We start from the raw sequence: 26,655 nt of genomic DNA on the forward strand, positions 1-26,655 counted from the left end.
TTATTCCCAATTTATAGATGAAAAAAACCAATGCAGTAAGATATTAACTGTCCTGTTGAAAGCTATAAGGCTTGTGAGTGGTAGAAGATGCAATTGAACCCAAGCAGTCTGGGTCCAATGTGGGTAGAACAACTATGCCATGTGTCTTTCCACAAAAAGTGGAGTGAATTTTTTTGAAACAGGTTTGGGAGCCACAAGTCCTGGGCTCTTCAAAGTCCCCCCTGGGGCAGTCCTCCTGGAGACATTACCCAGTGCTGGAGCAGCCCAGGTCTCTCCCTTGGCCCTTTCCTTCTCTCTACAGATACACTACTCCTTTGCTGTTCTTCCCATCTTGTTGCTTTAAATAACTTCTGTAATCTTGAGTATATATTTCAGCCTCCCTCCACTGAACTCCAGACTTCTCAATCTGTCTACCTGACAGCTTTTGTTGGATATTCAATAGGCATCACCACATAACCTATCCAAAACCGAGGCCTCGTTCCTCTGTTCCTACACAGAACTGCCACCTGCATCTCAGGGGATGAGAATCCCTCTTTGCAGTTTCCCAAGCCAGAGACCAGGAAGTGCATCATGTTGCATTTCTTTCTGCTTATGTGGCAAATCTCAGCAGACTCTTTTCAAAATAAATCCAGAATTTGAAATCCTCACCAATTCCTTTGATAGGCTCCAATCCAAACTGCCCTAATCTCTCTCTTGCCTCCCAATTAGTTTGAGCTTCTCCTCCTGCCTGTGTAATGCAGTCTATTTTTGACCTAGAACCCAGAGGGAGCCCTTCACAGGGAAATCCAACTGCGCTGTTCCCCTGCTAACTACCTTCTGATGGTTTCCACCACACCCCACAGGCCTGATGTGACTCCCTGCTGCTCTGTGGCCTGGCCCCCTGTGCTGGTTCCCTGATACTCTGCTGGGCTGGTTCCCTGGTACTCTGCTGGGCTGGTTCCCTGGTACTCTGCTGGGCTGGTTCCCTGATACTCTGCTGGGCTGGTTCCCTGATACTCTGCTGGGCTGGTTCCCTGGTACTCTGCTGGGCTGGTTCCCTGATACTCTGCTGGGCTGGTTCCCTGGTACTCTGCTGGGCTGGTTCCCTGGTACTCTGCTGGGCTGGTTCCCTGATACTCTGCTGGGCTGGTTCCCTGATACTCTGCTGGGCTGGTTCCCTGGTACTCTGCTGGGCTGGTTCCCTGATACTCTGCTGGGCTGGTTCCCTGATACTCTGCTGGGCTGGTTCCCTGGTACTCTGCTGGGCTGGTTCCCTGGTACTCTGCTGGGCTGGTTCCCTGGTACTCTGCTGGGCTGGTTCCCTGGTACTCTGCTGGCCTGGCCCCCTGCTGCTCTGCTAGCCTCATCCCCTGCCACTCTGCTGGCCTGGGCCCCCTGCTGGCTGCCCATGCCTCTCTTTCCTGCATGTGTCATGTCCTCTCTATTCCTTGAATGTGCTGAGCTGTGAGCACTCCAGTGCGTCTCCCTGTGGTCCTCCTCTTGGAATACTCTGCTGTCCAACATTCTCAAGCTCTCTCGGGTCTCTACTGAAACCTCACTGTTGTATTACAGAGGCCTGTGCGTGGAGCTTCTAAAATGAGGAACATTCCTCGTCACCACGTTGGAGATGTCTTCACCCTTACCTTTCTTTATTGTTCTTCCTGATACTGAATGCCATTCAACAGGCTCCATTTTGATCGTTTACTGTCCACTCTCTCCCACTTCCACCCCTACTAGAGTGTCATTCATGAGGACAGGACAGGGACTTCATTTTGCTATTTTTACACTTTCTTGCAGAACCTATAGCACTCATATTAGTCAGGCATTCGGTATTTGTTGAATAAAATGAGTGAATCTTTGAGAAACTTCCAGGTTTTATAGAACACAGTTCTATAAACAGCCATAAGCCACCTGGATTCATAACAGAGACATGAGTGTGACACCGACATGAGCTGAGGTGTAAGGAAGGGAAGTCAGGATCAGATCAGAACTGGTGACCAGGTCAGCTCCAGGTCATCCTAACCAGGAGTCTAACATTCAGACTTGCCCAAAGTGGTAAGGGGGGTCAGTGGGGTGGCAAACTTTTGTTTGACTTATGCCAGTCTGGGTCTAGGGTGACCTAGTCTGAAAGGTGGGATGTAAGAGGTGACATTTGCAATGAAGACATCAGATAAAAAATCTGGTCTATTTGGAGCAGAAGGAAGTGTGTAACTGGGGTGGAGAACATGAAAAGAGGTGGCGAAGCCAGGGCCCAGTGCTAGTACCAGCAGGGCCCCAGGGATGGAGAAGAAATCCCCGCACTGACTGGGCCTATGTGCAGAGATCTTAGAGCCACAGAATTAAGGCAAACAGAACTCAACCCAAACAGACTAGATCATGAGTCTGGGAAAACACCTACTGCTAAGTCCAGACTTCCTCACTTGTGGGTGGAATCTGCTCCTGTTAGTTCCTTTCTCGGGGGTTGACATTCTGCAGGTGCTGCGAGGCGGCACCTGTAGCCTTGCTAAGCTGGGGAAGGCAGGGCTGATGCCTAACAGCCTAAGATTACCTTTCTGGAGGCTTCTCCAGCTTCTGTTTATGGTATTTACCTTCTGCTCCTTTTGGTTTGTTTACTTGTTTAAAGGAAGATTAAATAACCTCACACAACATTGTACCACTTGAAAATAAAATGAATCTTGAGATTTTTTTTCTTTTTCTTGCAAAGAGATAATGAGGTAAACAAACACCTCTCTCTTCTGCCCACCTCTCTCAGGTGCGCCTGCTGTCAGAATTCTCCTGTTATAACAACCTAACTACTGAGTACATATAAATGTCTCATCTGCAATATATTTCATGAGCCTCAGGGGACCCTGCAGCTCATCTCCAAGAAGTCTTCTTTGTGAATTTCAGCTAACATTCACTCTTCTCCACTAACGGCAGACAGCTGTATCTAGCTGACAATGTAAAATATCTATTTTTCTTATTGTTGCCCCAAATTGTTGCACATTTATGTTTCTAGCCCATATTTCTCCTGTGAGCCCACACCAGCAGCAGAGTTTACATCTTCACTTGGACATGTCAAATGAAGCCATCTCAAACTTCAAAATCGAAGTCTTCTCTTCATGCCTGGCTTACTTCAGTGAGTGACATCAATATCCATCCTGGAATTGCTTATTTGGGTTAGCAACTGTTTAATCTTGGAAACCACATCATAACTGGGTATAGTCTAATTGCCAAACAAAATATGCAAGCCCAGTAAGCATCATCTGGACTTGGCAAGTTCAGTGATAAAGCGTGAAACAGAATGGAAAGTGAGTCTCGCGTGGGGTGCAAGGCAGAGGAAGACCCGTGGCTGTGCCCTCCCCTGCCTGGCCTTGTCCATCATCTGCTACTGGAGACTCCTTTCCAGCAGCCATGCTTCCTGACCGACCTCAGTGATGAAAGCAAATAAAATACCACCACTTTTCAATTTTTAGAGGAATTTTCCTAGAAATAAACAGAAACCATCTTTTTAATTGCATCGGTAACCCTTTAAGAATATAAAGACCACCAGAGGCCAACCACACTCTAGAGAGAAGCTAAGAGAGGTAAATAGAGCAATTAAATCAGCCATCACCCAGAGGACACTTGCCGAAAGGGTGAAGGCGTGATTCAGTTTTCAAGGCCACACGGAGTGCTGGACAAAGTTCAAAGCCAATGTCCCACCATAAGGCCAGTGTATCTGCCCACCCACCAAAACCTGTGATTTTCATTACACCTTTAGCCTAAGAGCAAATTAGAATGCACTTACTCTCTGGTTAACTACTAGAAAATCAACTATCTCCAACCCTGAGTCTAAGTTGGAGGTAGAAACAAAAAAAATCTTCCCTAAGAATTCAAAACCACAAGCAGAATCTCATATAGGTATGAGCATCAGATGCACATTTCTTGTGTAGTATTAAAAATGACAAGTCGGGATTCCGTGTCTCCAGCCCTTGGTAAAGCAAATGCAGTTCCTGTCTGAAGGAATTTACTTCAGAAATAGAGATACTCAGGTGCTGCCCCACAGCAGACCTCCTCAGCTAAGATCTTTAAACATGTACACATACAGAAATTCCACAGGGAAAGTTTCAATGAACAGGAAGTCACAGCAGTAAAAAATGAAATGACAGGGAATCAAGACACTATGACGAATAAACAAAAAACAATATAATCCTAAAAGAAAGACGTCAAATACTGACCTAACAAGACACCGAATGTCTCATAACATGGTTTCTGAAAATTTATGAACCACCTCGTGATATTTTTATTTTCTTATCATGAAATTTTAACTCAGTAGGTCTGAGAGTTGGGCTTCATATTCTGCCTTTCTAGCAAGCTCCAAAGTTTTACCACTGCTGCTGATCTGTGGACCATACATTAAGTAATAAAGTTTTGATATTGTGTTTAATATGTTACATTAGTTTTTCATTGTTGCTGTGAAGAAGTACCACAATGTTGAGTCTTGAAGCAATAAAAATTTATTATCTCACAGCTCTGTAGGTTAGAAGTCCAATTTGGTGCATTTGAGCTCCTGACTGCAGGTTTTACAAAGCATAAAATCAGGTGGTAAAAATAAATACACAAATATATTTGCATGTATATGTGCATATAATAATAATATAGTTGTAATGAACTAAAATGCGCAGTTAAAAGACAAAGACTTGATGGGAGTAGCATTGAATCTATAAACTACTTTGGGCAGTATGGCCATTTTCATGATGATGATTCTTCCTCTCCATGAGCATGGAATATTTTTCCATTTGTTTGTGCCCTCTCTTATTTCCTTGAGAAGTGGTTTGTAATTCTCCTTGAACAGGTCCTTCACGACCCTTCTAAGTTGTATTCCTAGGTATTTTATGCTCTTTGTAACAATTGCGAATGAGAGTTCACTCATGATTTGGCTATCTGTTTGTCTACTATTAGTATATAGGAATGCCTGTGAGTTTTGCACATTGATTTTGTATCCTGAGACTTTGCTGAAGTTGCTTATCAGCTTAAGGAGTTTTGGGATTGAGATAATGGGGTTTTCTTATTACATGTTCTCTTTTGTAGTACTTACAACAGATGTAATTATATATTTATTTATCCCTGATTTAATTCTTTATTTTTAGCTTTCATTAATTTACATACAGTAAAAATCACTTTTTGATAAATTCATGGAACTATGTTTAATGAGCAGCACAATCAAGTATAGAAGTGTTCTGTCACTCAAAATAATGACACTAATGCTTTCCCTTCCACCTCACTCGTCAACCCTGAAAGCCACTGAGCTATTCTTCAACTCTATAGTTTTACTTTTTCAGAATGTCACATAAATGGAAGAAAATATAGCACATAGTCTTTTGAGTCTGTTTTTTTTCACATGTCTTAAAGTATGTGAAATTTACCTTTGTTATGGCATGCATCATAGTTCACAATTGTTGTTACTGAGTAATATTAGTGTACTATGTTTTATTCATTCACCATTAAGGTCATTTAAATTATTTCTCTTTTTGGTGATTATTAATAAAGCCTCTATAAACTTTTGCAAATAGATTTTCATATAAGTTCCATTTTTAAATTTCTTTTGAATAGGATTGGTCACACAATAAGTTTATGGTTAAATTTATATAAGACTGAAAAGCTGTTTTCCAAAGTAGCTTACTGTCTTGCCTTCCCCCTAGCAATGCATGACAGTCCCTGTTGCAGCACATTTTCACCAGGACTTAAGCTTGCCATTTATTATTATTAAATTTTCAGCCATTCTAACAAGTGTACAGTGGTTTCACCTTGTGGCTTTAATATACATTTATGTAATGACCAATGATATTGAGTATCTTTTCATATGCTTAAATGACCATTTTTTATTGTTAAATTTTGTAAGTTCTTGAGCAAACTATCACAAGGACAGAAAACCAAACATTGCATGTTCTCACTCATAGGTGGGAATTGAACAATGAGAACACCTGGACACAGGGAGGGGAACATCACACCCTAGGGCCTGTCATGGGGTGGGGGGAGGGGGGAGGGATAGCATTCGGAAAAATATCTAATGGAAATGATGAGTTAATGGGTACAGCAAACCAACATGGCACATGTATACATATGTAACAAACCTGCACATTGTGCACATGTACCCTAGAACTTAAAGTATAATAATAATAAAAAAAATTTGTAAGTCATTTATATATTGTGGGAAAATGTTTGCCAGACACTTGGCAGGTAAGTATTTTCTCCCAGTCTATGGCTTGTTTGCATTCTAACAACAAGTAAAAATCTGGGCAAACTAAAAAGTCAATCACTGTTCTTAGCTATGCAAGAGAAATGAGGTCACAGAGCAAACTGCTGCCCCCTAAATTGAAGATCTATTGGTGAATAGTGAATACAGAGAATAACAACCTAGCAGAGCAGAAAGCTCTGTGAGAACTAGTACCGGGATAGGGAAATCTGAACTGTAATTGATGAACTACTAAAGGCTCCGTGTGAATAAATCTGACAGTTAAAAACTCCTAGGAGACTCAATCATAGGGAAGCCCCCCTTTCAAGAGTTTTACCTCAAAAAGCTCTTCAAGGTCCCCATAGGGAATATCAGATAAAAATTCCCTTAAAATTCCTTTTTGCATCTGGCAGGGAGAGGGGAAAATGAATCATTTTGGAATATAACAGAGTACTATGTTCTTCTTAACAAGGCTTGTCCTCAGGAGGAATTAATTAACCATAGCCCAACCTGCTGGGTTTTTAATTTTTTTTTTTTTAAGAGAGACAGAGTCTTATTCTGTCACCCAGACTGTGCAATGGCATGATCATAGCTCACTCTTAGCTTTGGACCCCTGAGCTCAAGTGATCCTCTTGCTTTGGCCTCCCAAGTAGCTAGGACTACAGAAGTGTGTCACCATGCCCAGCTAGTTTCCATTTTACTTTTTGTGGAGATGGGGTCTCACTATGTTATCCAGGCTAGTCTCAAACTCCTGGCCTCAAGCAATCCTCTCATCTTGGCCTCCCAAAGCCAGGTGTGAGCCACTGAACCTGGCCTTACTGTGGTTTTATCAGAGCCTAAGGGACCTGGGGAAGGGAATACCCAACTCCCACCCTCTCTGACCATTCTGTCCCACCTGTGGAGGGGGTGGAGGGGAAGACTGGGGAGCATTTGTGAAGTTCAAAGACTGAGACCTAAATAGGACTATAAAATGTTTCCCTTCTCTTCATACCTTACTACTATATTACTAAAAACTTGTGTACAGCAGTTCCTTTTACCCAGTATATCATGTTTACCCAGTATATCATTACAGGACATACCAGAAGGTCAAAACTTAGTTTGAAGAGACACAATACGTATTGAAACCAGATTCAGATATGATAAAGTTGTTGGAATTATCAGACCAGAAATTTAAAACAACTATGATTAATATGCTAAGGTCTCTAATGAATAAAGTAGGCAGCATACAAGAACAGATGTGCAATGTAGGCAGAGAGATAGAAATTCTAAGAAAGAACAAAAAGGAATGCTACAGTATTAAAAGCACTGTAACAGAAGTGAAGAATGCCTTTGATGGGCTAACTAGTAGACTAGACAGGGCTGAGGAAACAATCTTTGAGCTTGAAGATATCTCAATCAAAACCTATAAACTGAAAAGCAAAGAGAAAAAAGACTGAAACAAAACCAAACCAGAACAGCATTTCCAAAACTGTGAGGCAATTCCAAAGATGTAACATTTGTGTGATAGAGATACCAGAAGAAGAAGAAAGAGAGAAAGGAACAAAAGAAATATTTAAAACAATAATGGCTGAGAATTGTCCCCAAATTAATGCCAGACACCAAACCACAGATCCATGAAGCTCCAAAAACACCATGCAGGATAAATGGCAGGAACACCACACCTAGGTATATCATTTTGAAATGACAGAAAAACAAATATAAAGAAAAAAGTCCTGAAAGAAGCCAAAGGGGAATACCTTACCAATTGATATGGTTTGGATCTGTGTCCCCACCCAAATCTCATGTTCAGTTGTAATCACCAGTGTTGGAGGTAGGGCTTGGTGGGAGGTGATTGGATCATGGGGGTGGATTTTTCATGAATGGTTTAGTACCATCCTCTTGCTACTCTCTTCACCATAGTGAATTCTCACAAGATCTAGCTGTTTAAAAGTATGTGGCACTTCCCTCCTTGCTCTCTTGTGCCTCCCTTTATCACGTGAACTGCCTGCTCCTACTTTGCCTTCCCCATGAGTAAAAGCTCCCCTGAGACCTCCCCAGAAGCAGATGCAGCCCTGCTTCCCTTGCAGCCTGCAGAACTCTGAGAAAATTAAACCACTTTTCTGATAAATTGCTCAGTCTTAGGATTTATTTTTATAGCAATGTGAGAATGGACTAATTTACCAATTGAAGAACAAAGATAAGAATTACATCTGACTTCTATGTAGAAAGCATGCAAGCAAGAGAGTGTAATGAAATATTTAAAGTTTTGAGAGAGAAGAAAACCATTGTCTTAGAATACTGTACCCAGAGAAATAATATTATTTATCTGTTTTATATATTGCTGGCTTTAATTTGTTAATATTTAGTCAAGGATTTTGATATCCATGCTCATGAGTGATATTTCTTTATAATATTCTTATAATTTCTTTGGAAATTCATCTGATTGTTGAGGTAATGTTGGTCTCATGAAATAAGTTAGGAAGTAATTCTTGAAATATTCTTTGGAAGAAATTACATAGAATTGGTAGATATGATTTCTTAAATATTTGGTAGGATTTTCTGTTGGAACCATCTGAGCCTGGAGTTTTCTTTATTGGAAAGTTTTAAACTATGGATTTAATTTATCTATATGATAAAGGAAATATCATATTGCCTATTTCTTTGGTGAAGTTTGGTAATTTGTGACTTTCAAGGAATTGTTCTTTTTCATCTAGGTTGTTGAATTCATGGGCATAGAGTTGCTCATAGGATTCCTTTATTATGCTTTTAAACTTCTATGTGTCTTAGTCATATCTCCCTTTCATTCTTAAATTAGGAAGTTTGAGAGCTTGTTTGGAGATTCTAGAAGGGGAGCGCAGCTACTCATGTACACTTGACCAAAGACCCGTCCTCCTCTATTGGGGATGTTCATCCTCTTCAACTGAGCATGCAGCTTCAGGAGGGGTGCACGTGGAGCAGTGAGGGAGGAAGGGGACACCCGCCTAGCGAGCCAGATTGGCCAAATCAACCCTGGAGATCAATGGGTGACAGATGTCGCAGCCAGTTGGGAAAACTGGCTAGCCATATGCAGAAAACTGAAACTGGACCCCATCCTTACACCTTGCACAAAAATTAACTCAAGATGGATTAAATACTTAAATGTAAGACCTAAAACCATAAAAACCCTAGAAGAAAACCTAGGCAATACCATTCAGGACATAGGCATGGGCAAAGCTTCATGACTAAAACATCAAAAGCAATGGCAACAAAAGCCAAAATTGACAAATGGGATCTAATTAAACTAAAGAGGTTCTGTACAACAAAAGAAACTATCATCAGAGTGAACAGGCAACCTACAGAATGGGAGAAAATTTTTGCAATCTATTCATCTGACAAAGGGCTAATATCCAGAATGAACAAGGAACTTAAACAAATTTACAAGAAAAAAGCAAACAACCTCATCAAAAAGTGGGTGAAGGATATGAACAGACACTTCTCAAAAAAAGACATTTATGTGGCCAGCAAACATAGAAAAAAAAAAAAGCTCATCCTCACTGGTCATTAGAGAAATGCAAATTAAAACCGCAATGAGATACCATCTCATGCCAGTTAGAATGGCCATTATTAAAAAGTCAGGAAACAACAGATGCTGGAGAGGATGTGGAGAAATAGGAATGCTTTTACATTGTTGGTGGGAGTGTAAATTAGTTCAACCATTGTGGAAGACAGTGTGGCAATTCCTCAAGGATCTAGAGCAAGAAATATCATTTGACCCAGCAATCCCATTACTGGGTATATACGCAAAGGATTATAAATCATTCTACTATAATGCACATATATGTTTATTGCTGCACTATTCACAGTAGCAAAGACTTGGAACCAACCCAAACGCCCATCAGTGATAGACTGGATACAGAAAATGTGGCACATATACACCATGGAATACTATGCAGCCATAAAAAAGGATGAGTTCATGTCCTTTGCAGGGCCTGTGGATGAAGCTGGAAACCATAATTCTCAGCAAACTAACACGGGAACAAAAAAACAAACACCGCCTGTTCTCATTCATAAGTGGAAGATGAACAATGAGAACACATGGACACAGGGAGGGGAACAGCACACACCGGGGCCTGTTGGGGAGTGGTGGGCTAGGGGAGGGATAGCATTAGGAGAAATACCTAATGCTATACCACATTTAGCAAAGCACCTGTTAACATTAATATGTGTTTTTTCAATTGTTCAGTTCTCTTTCTCAGTGTAGATTCAGTGCAGTATTCATAATATTCTGTTAAGATGGCTACATTGATTTTACATCTTGTAAAGTGGAATCTTAGGATCCAGGATGTATTCCTTTTCTTTTGCACATAACAAGTTATTACCAACATAGGTTCTTAGGATAACGCATGCATGAGCTCAGTTTATGTGGGCCAGGTATAGCTTACCTTGGGTTTCTGCCCAGGTCTTATCAGGCAGCCAGGCTGAGACCAAGGTTTCATCTAGGTTGTGTTCTCCTCCTGAGGCTCATTGAGGAAGGGTCCATTTCCATGTTCATTCCGGTTGTTCTAGAATTTGTTTCCAATGGTTGTATGACAGAGGCCCTCAGCTTCTTATTGGCTACTCTCTGATCTTAGAGGCCACTGTAGTTCCCTGCCACTTGGTCCTCTCCGTAGGTGCTTTACAGAATGGCTGTTTGCTTCTTTAAGACTATAGGAAAATATTTCTCTCCAGTCCACTGAGTCATAGTCTCCTATGATGTAAAGTAATTATGGAGTGATATCGTTCACCTTTGTCATATAGCATGACCTAATAAGTAGTGTGATATCCCATCACCTTTGCCATATTCCATAGGTTGAAAGCAAGTAATGAGTCCTATCCACACTGAAGGGAAGGGTATTCCACAAGGGTATGGCTCATTAAGCATCACCACATGGTGTGTTTCCCACAAATGTGTTATGTTTATTGCATGTGAGTGTCTAGAATACACTAGTAAAGGGGACTCATACTGAGTGTGGGAGTAGTAATGTCTTTCTTTGCACTTCCTGTGATGTTCCTTGTTTCATATTTATATAAAATAGGGGAGTTCCATAGGAAATGCCACTTGAGTGAATAAATGGATTAATCAGTGAGTACTTGGGACTTAAACAGTTGACAGAATATAGTACTGCTGACCAAAATCTAAAAAAGGTTCAGAATAAATCCCATTGTAAATTTTATTTCATTTCCCTGTTCTAAAGTAAGATTCCCAAGAAACCCAGAGTACTCTGTCTGATGGTTTCTTAGCCTATTTCAGAGTTTGTAATTTCAGATTTTTACTTTCCATTTTGGAAATCTATCCATCTGACAAAGGGCTAATACTTTCCAACCTGGTACAACTGAGTCTCATAGGCCAACCTGGGCTTTTGTTGGGATGTTGCCAAAATGACTAATGAACCAATGTGTTTAACTGTTACTTTAGTGAAACCACATCTCCTGATTCCCTGTGGTACATTGCATTTTCTAGTAAAGATCAAATTGAACATGCTCTACTTGCTGAAGATTAATTGACAAGAGATGTTTTGATATCAATGGGAAAACCATGGAAAGTTGAAACGTTAAATCATAGCTTAGATCTATGAGTTTTTGGGTCATATAAAACTAGTTCTCCATTTTCTTTTGTTGACAGCATTTGGAGCCTTCAAGTCCTATCTAAGCATTATCTAGACAATATCTGTTTTCCCACAACATAAATGATCTACTCCCACTCAGGGAAGATCAGCCTTTGTGTGTGTATGCTTACATTTTTCTAGTTCAAATAGGATTTTTCACAGGTATTCTTAAATGCATTTACTAAACCCAACAGCATGTTCTTTAAAACTTCTTTTGGACCTCAGTGTCTTCAAGGATTAATTTATTTCCTTCCTCTGATAAGAGATGTGTTTCAAGGGTTACAGGAGGCTCAGGATGAGTGTGCTTTTTATTACTATTGTTGTTCTTGTAGGTCTCTAGGTAGGGTTGTATTTTGTAAAATTTTCCAAGGTTAAATAACAAGAATTATATCTGAAATGTACAATGATTACAGGGATTAAATGGAAAAGGAGTGAGGCTGCAGGAACTAGATGGACAGGTTAAGTGCAAGGGTGGGTAAACCAGTCATAGTAATTCACACTCTACCACACCCTAGGTAAAGAAAGGAGGACCAGAAAAAACAAAGGCCCACTCATGCTAAGGACCATGAAAAGGTGGACAAGGACAGTATAATATCTTTTGAGCTGGTCATGAGGTCTCATTGCTATGAAGAACTCATACTGTTCCTTGCCATCTCTCGGTACTCTTGTAACCGAGATCCTCTTCGGTCATGCTATCTCAGCACTTTCTTGACATGAACCCTCTGTGGGCTTCTGGGCCTTTGTGTGTGTTATTTCTAGCTCCATTCCTAATATGCCCTTCTTTATTTTCTCTACCTGAGGGTCATAATCACCCTTTAGAATGGAATTTGAAGGTGATTGTCTTTGTGAAGCACCTAATCCCTATCTCTCCGGCACATTCACTATCAAGCATGGCCCACAGCAGGGCTCTCATCTGTTTCCTCACCTGTCTTGCCCACCACCGTGTGAGAGCCCCGCCCATTGCAGACAGAGGTGCTAAACCACACACAGTAGGTTCTTTAAATGTTTCTCAGTTTCATTCTACTTCAAGTCAAGTAATCCTGGTAGCATTCATGACTGTGGAAGACAAAATAACCCAGTTCCTGTATCCAAGAAGCAGATTCTAATTGACCAGCTGACACGTTCCAGTATGGAGAGCATCTGACATAGAATGAAAATGAGCAATGGCATAGCACTTTACAAGCCATAATCATGACCTGGTTTGATTCGCACAAGGTGTTAAGAATCACATAATACTATTATTACTGCTTCACAAATTAGGAAACTGTCATACAAAGGAAGTAAGAGGCTTTTTCAAGGTGCCACAATTATTGGCCAATAGTCTTAATTAGGAATTCAATTTTAACTATTCTACTCCAAATACTATGCACTTTCCTCAACACATGCCTTTGACCAAAATGAATGGTACAAATGACTTTCATAGGAGTCTCTGAAAGAAGGAGTGCTTGCTTTTGCCCATTGGTTAGAGAAGGCTTCTTGGAGAAGGTACTACTTGAGATGCCCCTGGAAGAAGAAAATAAATGTTTGATCAGTGAAGTAAAAGTGAAGACCATCCTGTAGAGGGAGGAAAGAGTGAACATGTGCATTTGTGGTATAAATTTCTGGCTGGGAATGATAGGTGCTTGTTGAAATTTTAACTCACCTAGAAGACAATAGGAGCATTAATGACTTTAGAGTAAGACAATACAAAGATGAATGTGATATACAGAAATGTCCCACTTTAGAGGTGATGTTAAGTGGATGAATTGTTGAAGTTCCTGAGGGTAAGGTAACCAGTTAGGAAATTTGCATACCTTCAGGTGTGCTATTGTCTCTGACAAACCCTGAATGTCTCCTATAGAGTGCACTGGCAATCATTTTATTTAGAGAAGCAGCCATTGTATTACATCCACATAAATCTTTGATATTTGACAAGAGATAATGATTCAGTAGAAAATGTGGTTTGGTCTGCTTGATAAATCACAACCAATAATGTTTGAGTGCCTACTGTATACCCAGCACCTACTCTATCCTTTAGCTGCGGAAGATGCCACACTAAGCAATACAAAATTGCCTGAATGCAGCTTCAATCCTACCATTGAATGTGCTCCCAATACAGATAGTAGGCACTTAGTGACAAAGAGACATTCTTTTTTGAGGGGAGATGGCAAGAAGGGCAAAAAAAGAGAGGCTGGTGTTGAAAAGCAAATGCCTCATTTTAGCAGTGTATGCCTCAGTGAACTGGGATGAAGCTATAAATGGCTTTATTCTTGAAACAGCCTGAAGGAATTCAGTTGAATAGAAACATTTTTTTTTTCTTGTTCCTGTGGGCAGCTGGATGAAAAGTTTGAGGCTTTGTTGTTGTTGAGAACACTGGTCATTTTCATCAAATTATTTGGAATATTCTGGTCTCCCAAGGAAATGCCTAAGCAGGAAGCAGGTACTAGAGCAAAATTTTTTCTAAATTTAAAATAAACCCAGAGGGTTTTGTGCCAAATAATCACCAGCTGCTGTGAGATCAATGTGTGTAGAATTATTAACAGGAAGCAAATTACTAACTACAACCTTTGGAGAAAATTTGTCTCAGGCAAGAACTTTCTTTGAAGGATTGCACCCAGCATGAAAACATTTAATTTCCCCACAGTCACTCCACAGGGACCCACCAAGGGTGCCATTGGCAATAAACAAGAAGATGCTGGCTGTAAAGCTTTGGAATTACTAACCTGAAATACAGAGAGGGAAGTTGCAGTGTAGAAAAAGTGAAGTTTATCAACAATACCTTTAAGCCTTTGTATAGGAATACTAGATTAAAACTTTTATAAGCAGGCCGGGCGCAGTGGCTCACGCCTGTAATTCCAGCACTTTGGGAGGCCGAGGCGGGTGGACCACGAGGTCAGGGGTTCGAGACCAGCCTGACCAACATGGTGAAACCCTGTCTCTACTAAAAATACAAAAATTAGCTGGGCACAGTGGCGGGCACCTATAATCCCAGCTACTCAGGAGGCTGAGGCAGGAGAATTGCTTGAACCTGGGAGGCGGAGATTGCAGTGAGCCGAGATGGCGCCACTGCACTCCAGCCTGGGTGACAGAGCGAGGCTCCATCTCAAAAAAAAAAAAAAAACTTTTATAAGCAGGCCCCTGTCTTCGACCCTGATATCTCATGCACAGTAGGTCCTCAATAAATGCTTACTGTCATTTGTTGGATGATCCACACCATTACACTCATGCCGGGTTATTGCTACTAGAGACCCTGTGGACCACCTAAATGATGTTTGTTTTTCATCCAGAGACATACTGGTCTGATGCTGGGCCCAAACTAGTTAGTGACCTAGTAAAGAACTAGAGTACAGATCTTCAGGGAAAGGTACATTGTTCACTCTATCTCATCAAAAAGGGTCTAAAAACCCTGATACATCCCGATCAATCTCTTTTTCAATTTCTTTTTTATTTATGAGTCAGAGTCTCGCTCTGTCGCCCAGGCTGGAGTACCGTGGAATGATCCGGGCTCACTGCAACCTCTGCCTCTGGGGTTCAAGCGATTCTCACGCCTTAGCCTCCCAAGTAGCTGGGATTGCAGGCACCTGCCCCCATGCCCAGGTAATTTTTGTGTTTTTAGTAGAGATGGGGTTTTACCATGTTGGCCAGGCTGGTCTCAAACTTCTGGCCTCCAGTGATCCACCTGCCTCTGCCTCCCAAAGTGCTGGGATTACAGGCATGAGCCACTGTGCCTGGCCTCAATCAAACTTTAATTTATTAAAAAATTAGACACTAAATCCACAAAAGCCTTACAGAAAAGCAGCTAGAGAGGTGGCTGAATATCCCAAGCCTCTTGTCTGATCTCATCCTGACTCTGTAGATCACCAAGATTGTGTTCACAGAATCAGCTGGTAATAAATAAACAGCTGTTGAGGAAGTGGCAAAATACTCAGCCCTAAAGTGTCTCAAATGCTTCCAGCAACATTGTGAGTTACTGCTTTAGTGTACAGCCTGCAGAAAAAGGACAAGACCATGGGGCACCTGACTTCAGTTGGAAAAAGGCATCACATATAAAAAAGTGCATGTGCTGTAGACTCAGGTTCGGGTTGTGGCACTGGAATTTATTAACTGCTTATTTTTTTTATTTTTATTTTTTGAGATGGACTTTCGCTCTTCTTACCCAGGCTGGAGTGAAATGGCATAGTCTTGGCTCACTGCAACCTCTGCCTCTTGGGTTCAAGCAATTCTCCTGTCTCAGCCTCCCAAGTAGCTGGGATTACAGGCATGCGCCACCACGCCTGGCTAATTTTTATATTGACTAGAGACGAGGTTTCACCATGTTGGCCAGGCTGGTCTTGAACTCCTGACCTCAGGCAATCTACCCGCCTCGGCCTCACAAAGTGCTGGGATTACAGGTGTGAACCACCACACCTGGCCAAACTGCTTAATCTTTTTTTTTTTTTTTTTTTTTTGAGATGGAGTCTAGCTCTGTTGTCCAGGCTGGAGTGCAGTGGCGCTATCTCAGTTCACGGCAAGCTCTGCCTCCTGGGTTCATGCCGTTCTCCTGCCTCAGTCTCCCGAGCAGCTGGGACTACAGGCACCCGCCACTGCTTAATCTTAAGCAAAGGACTCAATCTTTGAGTTATATTGTTCTAACTGGGGAAACAATACCTTGAGAGAACACACATTCTCCATAAAGAGACTGATCCATACACACAAAATTACAAATTCAAACACCAAATTCAATATTAGAGCTGTATTTAAGATACTATGATAGTGTTGGTGATGGCTGTACAAAGGAGAATGTCATAGAATTGAAGGGATCTGGGCAGAGTTTGAGGAATGGGTAAGGCTTTACAGGAGGACTGGCAAAGATTTGTCCTCCAGGCAGAGGACACTTCATCAGCAAATTGAGATAAGAAAGGAAGGCGGCAACCCAAGCACAGTGAGAAGATGAACATGAGGGCCAACGTTCTGGGGAGATGAGGGAGAGCAATCTACTGGCAACAGATCATGGTTGCAGATCAGGTGGCAGATCATGGTTGACGTTTTCTATGCAATGGATTTTGGCTTTAGGCTGTATTTCATAGGGCAATTTTAATAAGGCACAAACAAATTTGGATTCCATAAGGCTGACACTGGCAGCAATGTGGACAATGGCTTTGACAAAGGAATAGGAGGGGTGGGGCAAATAGGTAGATGCTGTTGGTGTCTTCTAAGGTGGGTATGAAGTTCAGCAGTAAAGGATAGCAGTCCAGATAGGCTAGGGGATACCACGGGTACAAAGTAACCACAGATTCCAGGGTCGTAAAACACCACTGGCTTATTCCTTTCTACTACTCGATGTTCCTCTCAGGTCAGCTGATAGTGCTGCTGTATTCTCAGGCCTCCAGGCCAACCTCTACATGTCATTTGTTGGCAGCCATGTTAGAGAAAATGAAGAAAAGCCATATGGCCACACGTGACCTTGGTATTGGGATAAGCAATCCCTCAATAAGAATGAAACCTGGATATTCGTGAAGAGTGGTAGAGTGATGGCGGTAACCAGTAAGATGGTGACTTTGAGGAGACAAGCTTTCCATTACTGTATGGGCAACCACACACAGAGTCAAGGATCTTATCTACCTGGACTATATTTAATTTTTCTTTTCTTTTTTTTTTGGTAAGTCTTATAAAACTACAGGGTCATGGGTGCAGGTTCGAACATGTAGATGTTAAAAACAAGTAAGTAAAATAAAAAGGTTGTTTCTCTCCTTTTATTTATCAATGTTTTAGTTTTATTACAATAAAGAGGAAAAACTGGCCATCCGTCCTGACTGTCTGTATGAAACAGGGATTTCACACCCATTCTGCTAGTGGCAGGGATTTTTTTTTCCCCACACATCTATTGATGCCAGATAAGTTTGGCCTCTGTCCCTGGATTTGGTTTTGTACTTTTCTGGCTATTTGACAAAGTCTGTAGTTGAAAAAGATCTGGAGACCGAGATCACAGAGTGACTTTTCTGATTTCTGTGCAAGTGTGTTTTAAGAGCTCATCCAAGGAGAGATTAAACCCGTGTAGACTGTGAAAGAAGATGTTTCTCAGAAGGTTGATGTCATTTTGCCTTGTCCATGAGATAGATGGAGGCAGCATTTTTTTTTCATATTTTTCTAATTAAGAATAAGTACAGGATGATGAGTTGAGTTATAATCAAATCCTCTGAATCCAGTTCCGCTAAGACACACCAAGGCCAGCAGGTGAAGGAGTACTGGTTACCACCTGTGTGTTTTTCACTTGCATGTTCAGAAGAATTGTTGTTGTCATTCTTGACCAGCAGTTATAATCATCTGTGGGGTTCACTATTAGGCTATTTTTTTTTCGCAAATACAGTGCACCTATCTAATCTTAAAATTGGGGTAAGTAAGCAAAGGATAGTATTACTTTATACCAAATGGGGATGGGACTTGAGAATCAGGGAGACTGGGGTTGAAGTGTCATGATTTAGAATCAGAATTGGTGACTAGGCTGTGCTGAGTTCAAGACAAACAGCAAAACGTGGGCCAGACTTTCAGATAGAGCCCAAGTAAGTATCACCTTGGAGACAAAGTAGAGATAAAGGACGCTGAAGTTTCCATTAGGCAATTGTCAGTTCCCATCTCATAAAGCCTGGCTGTAAAGTGAGTAAGGAATCTGAAGTGGACACCACTAACTCTGTGGCTGGCCTTCAGGGAGTAGACTTCTACATTTCAAATCAAAGGAGATATTCTTCATATTTTAAAATGTGTTTCAACATGTCATTATGTTCAAAAAAGGAACTTTCCTCTTTGAAACCAGTAAAATAATTTTGAGAAAGAATTGTTATTTTATAAAAACACATTTTTAATTATTTAGAATTTGAGGACCGCTAAGAATATTTTCGCAGATCCCTGAGTTTCCCAGATGCCATATTAAGGTGGACAAGTTCAGCAAATAGGTTTTGTGGTGGTTAGTTTCATGTGTTAGCTTGGCTAGGCTAGTTATGTATTCATAGACTAAGAGTTTCCGTGAAGGTATTTTGAAGATGTGTTTAACACCTACAATCAGTTGACTTTAGGGAAAAGAAATTACCCATGATTATGTAGGTGAGCTTCACCCAGTCATTGGGAAACTCTGAAGAGCACAAACTGAGGAGTGATGTTGCCACGAGCCAAGGGACATCAGCAGCCCCCAGGAGCCAGCAAAGGCAAGCAGAGCTTCTTCATTGGAAACTTCAGAGGGAGAGAGGCACTGCTGGCATCTTGATTTCGGGCTTCTGGTTTGCAGAAATGTGAGAGAATACATTTCTGTTGTATTAGGCCACCAAGTTTGCAGCAATTTGTTATGGCAACCCTAGCAAACTAACACATTATTCTCTGACAGTTATGAATTGGATAGGGAGTGATGCTATATGCACTCCTGATAGGGAATATATAGGTATTTTGTTCTAATATTGAAGAATGATTTTGAGCTAGTCTTGGATGACCCAGAAGAACAGCACGAACAGGATGAAGTATTAGTCCCCCACATTAAATGCTACTTAACATGCAGTACATAAAATAATAAGAGGTATGTTTGTGCATCCCCAGGGCTGGGGGTAAGGATTCCTTTGAAGAAAATAGATATTTCCAATATCTGACATTCAAGGACGCTGTAAATTCAAGGCAAAAAATAATGGCATGGCCAGTAAAGACAGATTTCTTTCCCTGAATACCGGACTCTTTTGGATTTTGAGGCCCCTGGCGGTTGTTGGGGACTTGGCACTGCATAAATGGAAATAGGTTGTGAAATGGATAAATGTTTAGCCTGTTAAGGATTTAATGTGATTGTTTAAGTCTTACTTAATAATCATCGTAAATATTTATGTTGTACCTCACTATTTTTAAGACTTCATTAAAATTTTGGTAAAAGAGAGATCTCCAGGTCTGGCTAAAATGGAGTAACGGAGACCAGATTTACCTTGCCACTTAAAACTATCATAAAAACCAGGAAGCCTATGTGAAGGAACTATTTCTAGGACATTAAATATCAGGTGGTAAGTGCAGGAATTCCTGAGAGATGGAAAACAAGTTAAGCAAGCCCCGTGATTTCCCTAGCTTAATGTCTTGAGGGAATTTCCAGGCCATGGTGCATAGTGCAGAATCTGGCAAAATCCCTGAGATAAGAATATGGAGCTGAGAGCCCAGGTACAGTGAGGCAGCAAGAATTGGAAGGACAGAATACCAAAGAAGAAAGAGCTACATACAGGAAAACTTCAGAAATCTGCAGAGGGTCCTCCTTGAATATTGCTTAGAGAATTCAATGCATGTGAAGGAAGTACCTGAGGCTAAGGAAAGAATCACCTGAGAGTATTAGAGAGAATATTGCCCCATTTACCACAGTGCTAAGAACAGTGGCTTTTCCTACCTGCCAGACTGGAAATTCTCATAATTCATGAGATACTGGGTATAATGCTCAGAATGGTGGTATCTCAATAGTGGGGAATAATTAACTTGAGATTAAATACGGCTCTGGTACACTCTAACAAATCTTAAAATCAAGACTTCAAAATATCAAACTGTTTTCAAGTAATTTAACAGCATCTCAGGGGGAAAATCCTCAAGAATATTTATAGGAAAGAAAATATATCTAGCCACTAATGAGGTAAAATCACAATGATTAGCATCAAATAAAAAATTACCAGGCACTCAAGCAGGAAAGCAGAAAGATAAATCAACAAATCAAAAATGATCCAGAATTGACTCAGATGCTAGAATTAGAAAAAGAGGGCATTAAAATAGTTATAATTATTTTTCATAATTTCATTTATAGTGGAATAAAATATATGAAAAAATATAAATATAACTTCTCCAGATGAAAGCTACATTATCTGAGATGAAAAATACACTAAATGAAATTAACAGTAGTTTATGCATTATAGAAGGAAAGACTAGTGAGGTTGGTGATGTAAAAACAGAGATGAATAAAAATAAATTGCAGAGAGGAAACAAAAATGAAAAGAGCATCAGTGAGCTGAAGGACAACTTCAGGTGGTCCAATATACATGTAATTACATTTTCCAAAGGAAAAGGGAAATGGAAGGGTGGGTATTTGAACCAATAAAAGGAGTTTTATTTTCAATATTTTTGCAAAGCTGAACTATAGATCACTGTATGCAAGAAGTTTAATGTAGCATAAGTACAAGATAGATGAAGAAAACTACATCAAAGTCCATTGCAATTAAATTTCCAAAAACTAGTAATAAAGAGAAAATGTTAAAAAGAAGCCAGAATAATAAAACACATGCTACATACATAGAAACACAAGATAGGGATGCCAGCACACTTCTCATCAGAAAGAATACAAGAAAAAAAAAAAAAAGAGTGGAGCATCATTTTCAAAGCATTGAATAAAAACACCTGTCAATCCAGAATTATATACACAATGAAAATATCTTTCAAAAGGGAAGGTAAAGTAAGAAAATTTTTACACATACAAAAGTTGACAGAATCTATCACCAAAAGACCTGTATTATTTCCTTCTTCAGGCATAAAGAAAATAACACTGGATGAAATATGCACCTACTTAAAGGAATAAGGGGCACTTGGAATTGTAACTACATGGGTAAAGAATATAAGGTTGTTTTCTTATTATTTAAATATATTTAAAATGTTCCTGACTGTTTAAATGAAAGTATGAATATATTATAGAATTTATAACATACATGAGTAAAATGTACAACAAGAAAAACGGAGGTTTGGAAGGGATACTGTACAAGTTATGATTCTATGGCTTGTGTACTATACTAAAAGTAGTATAAATCACCTAAAGGTAGACTGTGATGTGTAAAAGATATATATTATAAATCCTAAAGCAACCACTAAATAACTAAACTAAAAGTCATGGCAAAAAGGAAATTATTTAAAATTTAATCAAAATAATGCAGAAGAAGAGGAACAAAGAGCAGATGAACCAAATAGAAAACAAATAGCAAAATAATAAACCAAATGGTAGCAAAAATCCCAATAAGTGTAAATGGTCTAAACAACCTAATTAAAAGACAGAGATTGTCAGATTGAATTGAAAAGCAAGATTTAGGTATATACTGCAGCACTTCTAGTACCTCAATACACTTGAATATAAAGATACAAGTAGATTAAAATGACAAGATTAGAAACAGTTATAAAAGAAAGCTGGAGTGACTATATTATCATTCAAATTATATTTCAGAGAGGAAATACATATTACCAGAAATAAAGAATATTTTTTCAGAACAATAAAGGAGTGAATTTATCAATAGGTATAATAGTTATAATGGTTCACTTACCTAACAAAAAGCTTCAAAAAATGTATGCAAAAGCTGAAAGAATTGCAAGAAGAAATAGACTAATTAGCAATCATTGTTGGAGATTTCAATTCTTCCTCTTTTAAAAGCTGAGAGAAGTAGATGTGAAATCAGCAAGAATATATTCATCTTCCAAATTATCTGATTTTATGGACAAAATCATGTGGATATTAGGACTTTATAGATTAACTAGTGTTTTCTTTAACTGTGGAGGCTTTGTCTTGTACCAGAACAATTTTTTTCCCCTGACTCCAACAAAGAGCATTTATGGAGGGAGAATGCAAAGAGAACATATTTGTATCCAACCTTCCCAGGAGCATGTGAGGTTCACTGGCACATGAAGTAGCCCAGGGGTTTCATTCTGTCCTCATACAAAAAACCTGTTGCTAATTAAAGATTTAAGAAATACAGCTGGATAAGTAACATTAGCCCAGATGGCATTTCAGGAAACCTCTGGTGAGGCTTGAGGCAGACAGTAATTCTGCATGATTTATCACCCAGGTGGCGGTGTGGGGTGATTGGCTCAGTATACTTCAGGTGGAAAAAGACATTCAAGAATAGGACACTCAAGGTCAAGTAGGGCTTATAAACCCCATGAAATCATTCAGGAGCAAAATAACCTTTAGATCTAACTCCTTTTGTCTGTGTCATGGTGTGTTTGTTCAGTTTAGTAATTAAGAAATAGGGACTCCTATTCATTAAGTGTCATGTAGATTTTTATAGAATTTTTACCTCTTTATATTATAATCAAATAAATTAAATGCATGCTTTAAGTTTTACTGTGTAAAATTCACCATGTTAGATTTGTAGGAGATGCATTGGTGAAATATTTCCCAGAATATGTTCCACAGAACTCTTAATTTTATAGTGAATGATGGGTAATGTGTTAAGGAAAAAAAAGGGGAGTTTGTAGCTCAGGAAGTTCTGTATAAAGGTCACTTAGGGTTTGATTTTTTTAAATTAAAATTGTAGAACTACCAGAACTTGTAATAATTTAGGGAATAAAATGACTGTCTATCCAAGTCTGGATGGATTGATTTTGACATGAGAATTTCATAATACATTTCTGGGATTCTTCCCTCTTGATAGAGGGACAAATATAATAGATGACTTCCTTTAACTTCTGGTCAATGAGTGGAAGCTTCATCTTGGCTGATGCTGTGGTTTAGAGAGTCCCTTATTGTGAACAGCTCAACAAAAATCAGTGTCTTAGTCCATTTTGTATTGTAATAAAGGAATACCCGAGGCTGGTTAGTTTATAAAGAAAAAGAGGTTTATTTGGCATACAGTTTTGCACACTGTACAAGGAGTGTGGAGCCAGCATCTGGTTCTGGTGAACACCTCAGGAAGGTACTGATCATGGTGGAAGGCGAAGCAGAGCCAGCATGTCACATGGTAAGAGAGGATACGTGAGAGAGGAGGGAGGTGCCAGGCTCTTCCACAATCAGTTCTTCCTTGAACTAATAGAGTGTGAAGTCGCTCGTTACCACAAGGACAATACCAAGATGTTCATGAGGGATCTATTCCTATGATCCAAATACGTTCCACTAGGCCCCACCTCCAACATTGGGAATCAAAGTTAAACATGAGATTTGGAGGGGATAAATATCCAAACTATAGCAATGAGTTTACAGTAATGTGACCTAAAGCTTTGGCAATTTGAGTAATCTTCCTTGGTAAAAACATTTATAAATAATAATACATTTTTAGAACATTAGAGATTTAGGTCTCAGTCTTTTTCAGAGCTATCTTTGGGCAATTGACCAAGTATGCTTACATAGAAATACTCTCTCACTGCAAATCGTCCTGTCCTCCACCCCACACACATACATACCTGAGAATATTCCCGGCAACTCTGAGTACTAATGGGGTGGAAGGAGGCAAGAAATTGAAGGACCCTCAGATTTCAGTTGCTTCAGGCTAAATACGTTTTAGTTGATGCCTCTGATCTCACACTGCTCCCTAGGGGAGGACCCTAATTCCCATGTCATTAATAAAAGCAACACAGTTAAGTTTCTAATATGAAAAGATAAAGTTTTAAAATTACTGAAAATATCTTTAAATTTGTAACAGTTGACAAGATGTCCTTCATTTGAAATAAATCATAACCTATTCTATTATAGTCTTATGAATTTCCTAGAAAAACATAGAAGCATATGTATAGTTGAAAAATTGGTAACCCTCTGATATGGTTTGGATCTATGTCCCCACCCAAATGTCCTGAATTGTAATTCCTATTGTTGGAGCTGGGTCCTGGCAGGAGGAGATCGGATCATGGGGACAGATTTCTCATGAATGGTGTAGCATCATCCCCCTGGTGCTGTCCTTGGATAGTGAGTGATTTCTTACCAGATCTGGTTGTTTAAAAGTGTGCGGCACCCCTCTCCTCATTCTGTCCCTCTCTTTCTTGCTCCTGCTTTTGCTGTGTAATGTGCCTGCCCCAACTTTGCCTTTGACCATGAGTAACAGCTTCCTGAGGCCTCCCCAGAAGCTGAGCAATGTTGGTGCCATGCTTGTACAGCCTGCAGAACTGTGAGTCAATTAAACTTCTTTTCTTATTGATTACCCAGTCAAAGGTATTTCTTTTTAGTAACGCAAAAATGGTCTAATACACCCTCTAATCAGGCCAACTGGTTGTCTGGAAATGGCCTATGTCTCTCCTGCCATGGTGGGGGCTATCGAATTTTGGATTTAAATTCACAAAAAAAAGCAATGTGTATTTCCCCTTTGCACAATGTTTAGCATAGTGCTAGACTAAATAAGTGTTAAAAATATTGCAGAAGAGGCTGCTTTTTATCCAAGAATATATCAAACACATGGTATAGAGTTACAGAATAAATGAAGTGCTAATAATTTAGTTATATTTAGCTGAAATCGATTTGATGTTAACTGACTAAAATCTAATTGTCTCTAAAGGAAGTCAATGAGAATAATTAAGGAAGACTCTGGGTGTTGAATTTCAGACTACAGTGGAGATTAGAAAAAAAAAATAAAAAAACGAAACCCATGCCTTAGATGACAAACAAATGATAACTCCCTCTAAGTATTGGGGCAAGTAGGAGTGGACATCCAAGGGAGTGTAACTGGGAAAGACAAAATAAAATTATGCAAAGGAAAATTGAGCAAACGAAAATTAAAGCAATCTTAACAGTGAGGGCTATGAAACCGTTGAAAATTCTCCCAAGGGAAGTGATGGAAACCTCCTTGCTTGAGTCATTTCAAAGTCGACAAAACAACGAAAAATACATGGAGGGAGGGATCCTGTAGTGTTGGGGAGCAGACTCGATGATTTCATAGTTCTTTTCTGTCTCTGATTTCCATGTTCTGTGAAATAGTATTGCAGCTAAGAAACATGAAATCCTTCACTCCGACAGTATGTTCACAGAAAATTCATCTGAAGCACAAAGTTGAAAAGAAAAAAGAAAAAAAAAACATGCATTTGAAAATTCTGTCAGTCCTTCACATTCTTTTTATAAACTTGTTTTTCAGATACAGTGTAACATTGGAATTTAAATTGAGTTTCGTGTTCCTTCCACCTCACATGTAAAAACATCTATGACTTTAATTAATGAAGAATTCTAAAGTCAACTTGCATGTGTCCCAGTGTGTAATGGAATACTAGGAAAATTAAAGTTTGATGATTTCTTGAACAGCCCATGCCAACATCCAAAACAAGTACAGCTTAGAAAACACACATTAAACACCAAAAACTAATTTTAGCACAAAAGGAAAAGAAAGATACAATGACAGTAGAAATCTAAGGAAAAGTATATAAATGCATATATTTTTAAAAAGTATGCTTGAATTTCCTTGCTGTATAATTCTTTCTGAGACATGTTAGAGCTGCTCTTATTAGCCAAGGGAATACTTGTGGGAAGAAACCTGCCTACATGCTGAAAACAAGCTCACTAAAATCAATATTGGGTTTTGACTTGAAGGTGTTTACTATGAAGAACTCAGTGTGATTCCTCAATCAAGGACAAATTTATCATTACTTTTTAATTGTTACCTTAAACTACTGTATTACAAATTATTGACATTGTACCAGAAATTATACTAAGCTATTTACAAATGTAAAACTTTTATTTACCAATATATTGAGCCCATATTCTACACAATAAAATTTTTAAAAAATTAACACTGCACAATAGTTTTTTTAAAAAATAAGTTTGTTCGAATGATTTTAGATTTGCAGAAAAGTTTTGAGTGAGTATGGGGTAGTAGTTTCCCTACATCCATCATTCAGTTTTAGTTTTCCCTACGTTATCATCTTGCCTTACCACTGTATGTTTGTTAAAAAAAAATAAGTTAGTACAGGGAATATACTAATAAATAAACTCCATCTTTTGATATCACCAGTTTTTCATTAACGCCCATTTTCTTTTCCAGAGTATAACCCAGGATCCCACACTGCATTTCGTTGTCATGCTCCTCCCTTAAGCCTCCTCTGGTCTGTGAAAATTTCTCAGAGTATGTTTGTTTTTGATGACCTTGATAGTTTTGAGGAGTACTGGTCATCCATTTTGTAAAAGGCAGATGTATTGTCTCATGATTAGAGTTTGTCTTATCACGTTGTATCAGGGGATATTTGATTATCCACATA

General features: G+C 39.4%; 1 long non-coding RNA gene and 1 pseudogene across 1 annotated transcript in view; one reads left to right on the plus strand and one right to left on the minus strand.

The window, feature by feature from the left end:
* LOC124908053 (uncharacterized) overlaps window positions 1-26,190 on the plus strand; it is a 35,124-nt gene extending 8,934 nt beyond the window's left edge. Inside the window, exon 2 of the long non-coding RNA XR_007088654.1 lies at window positions 21,255-26,190. This is a non-coding gene — a long non-coding RNA (uncharacterized LOC124908053). The remainder of the gene's footprint in view (window positions 1-21,254) is intronic.
* RN7SKP112 (RN7SK pseudogene 112) lies at window positions 8,931-9,197 on the minus strand (annotated as a pseudogene).
* Window positions 26,191-26,655: the final 465 nt, after the last annotated feature.

This window comes from Homo sapiens, chromosome 2 (genome assembly GCF_000001405.40).
Source record: "Homo sapiens chromosome 2, GRCh38.p14 Primary Assembly".
In the NCBI taxonomy this organism is placed as follows: Eukaryota; Metazoa; Chordata; class Mammalia; order Primates; family Hominidae; genus Homo; species Homo sapiens.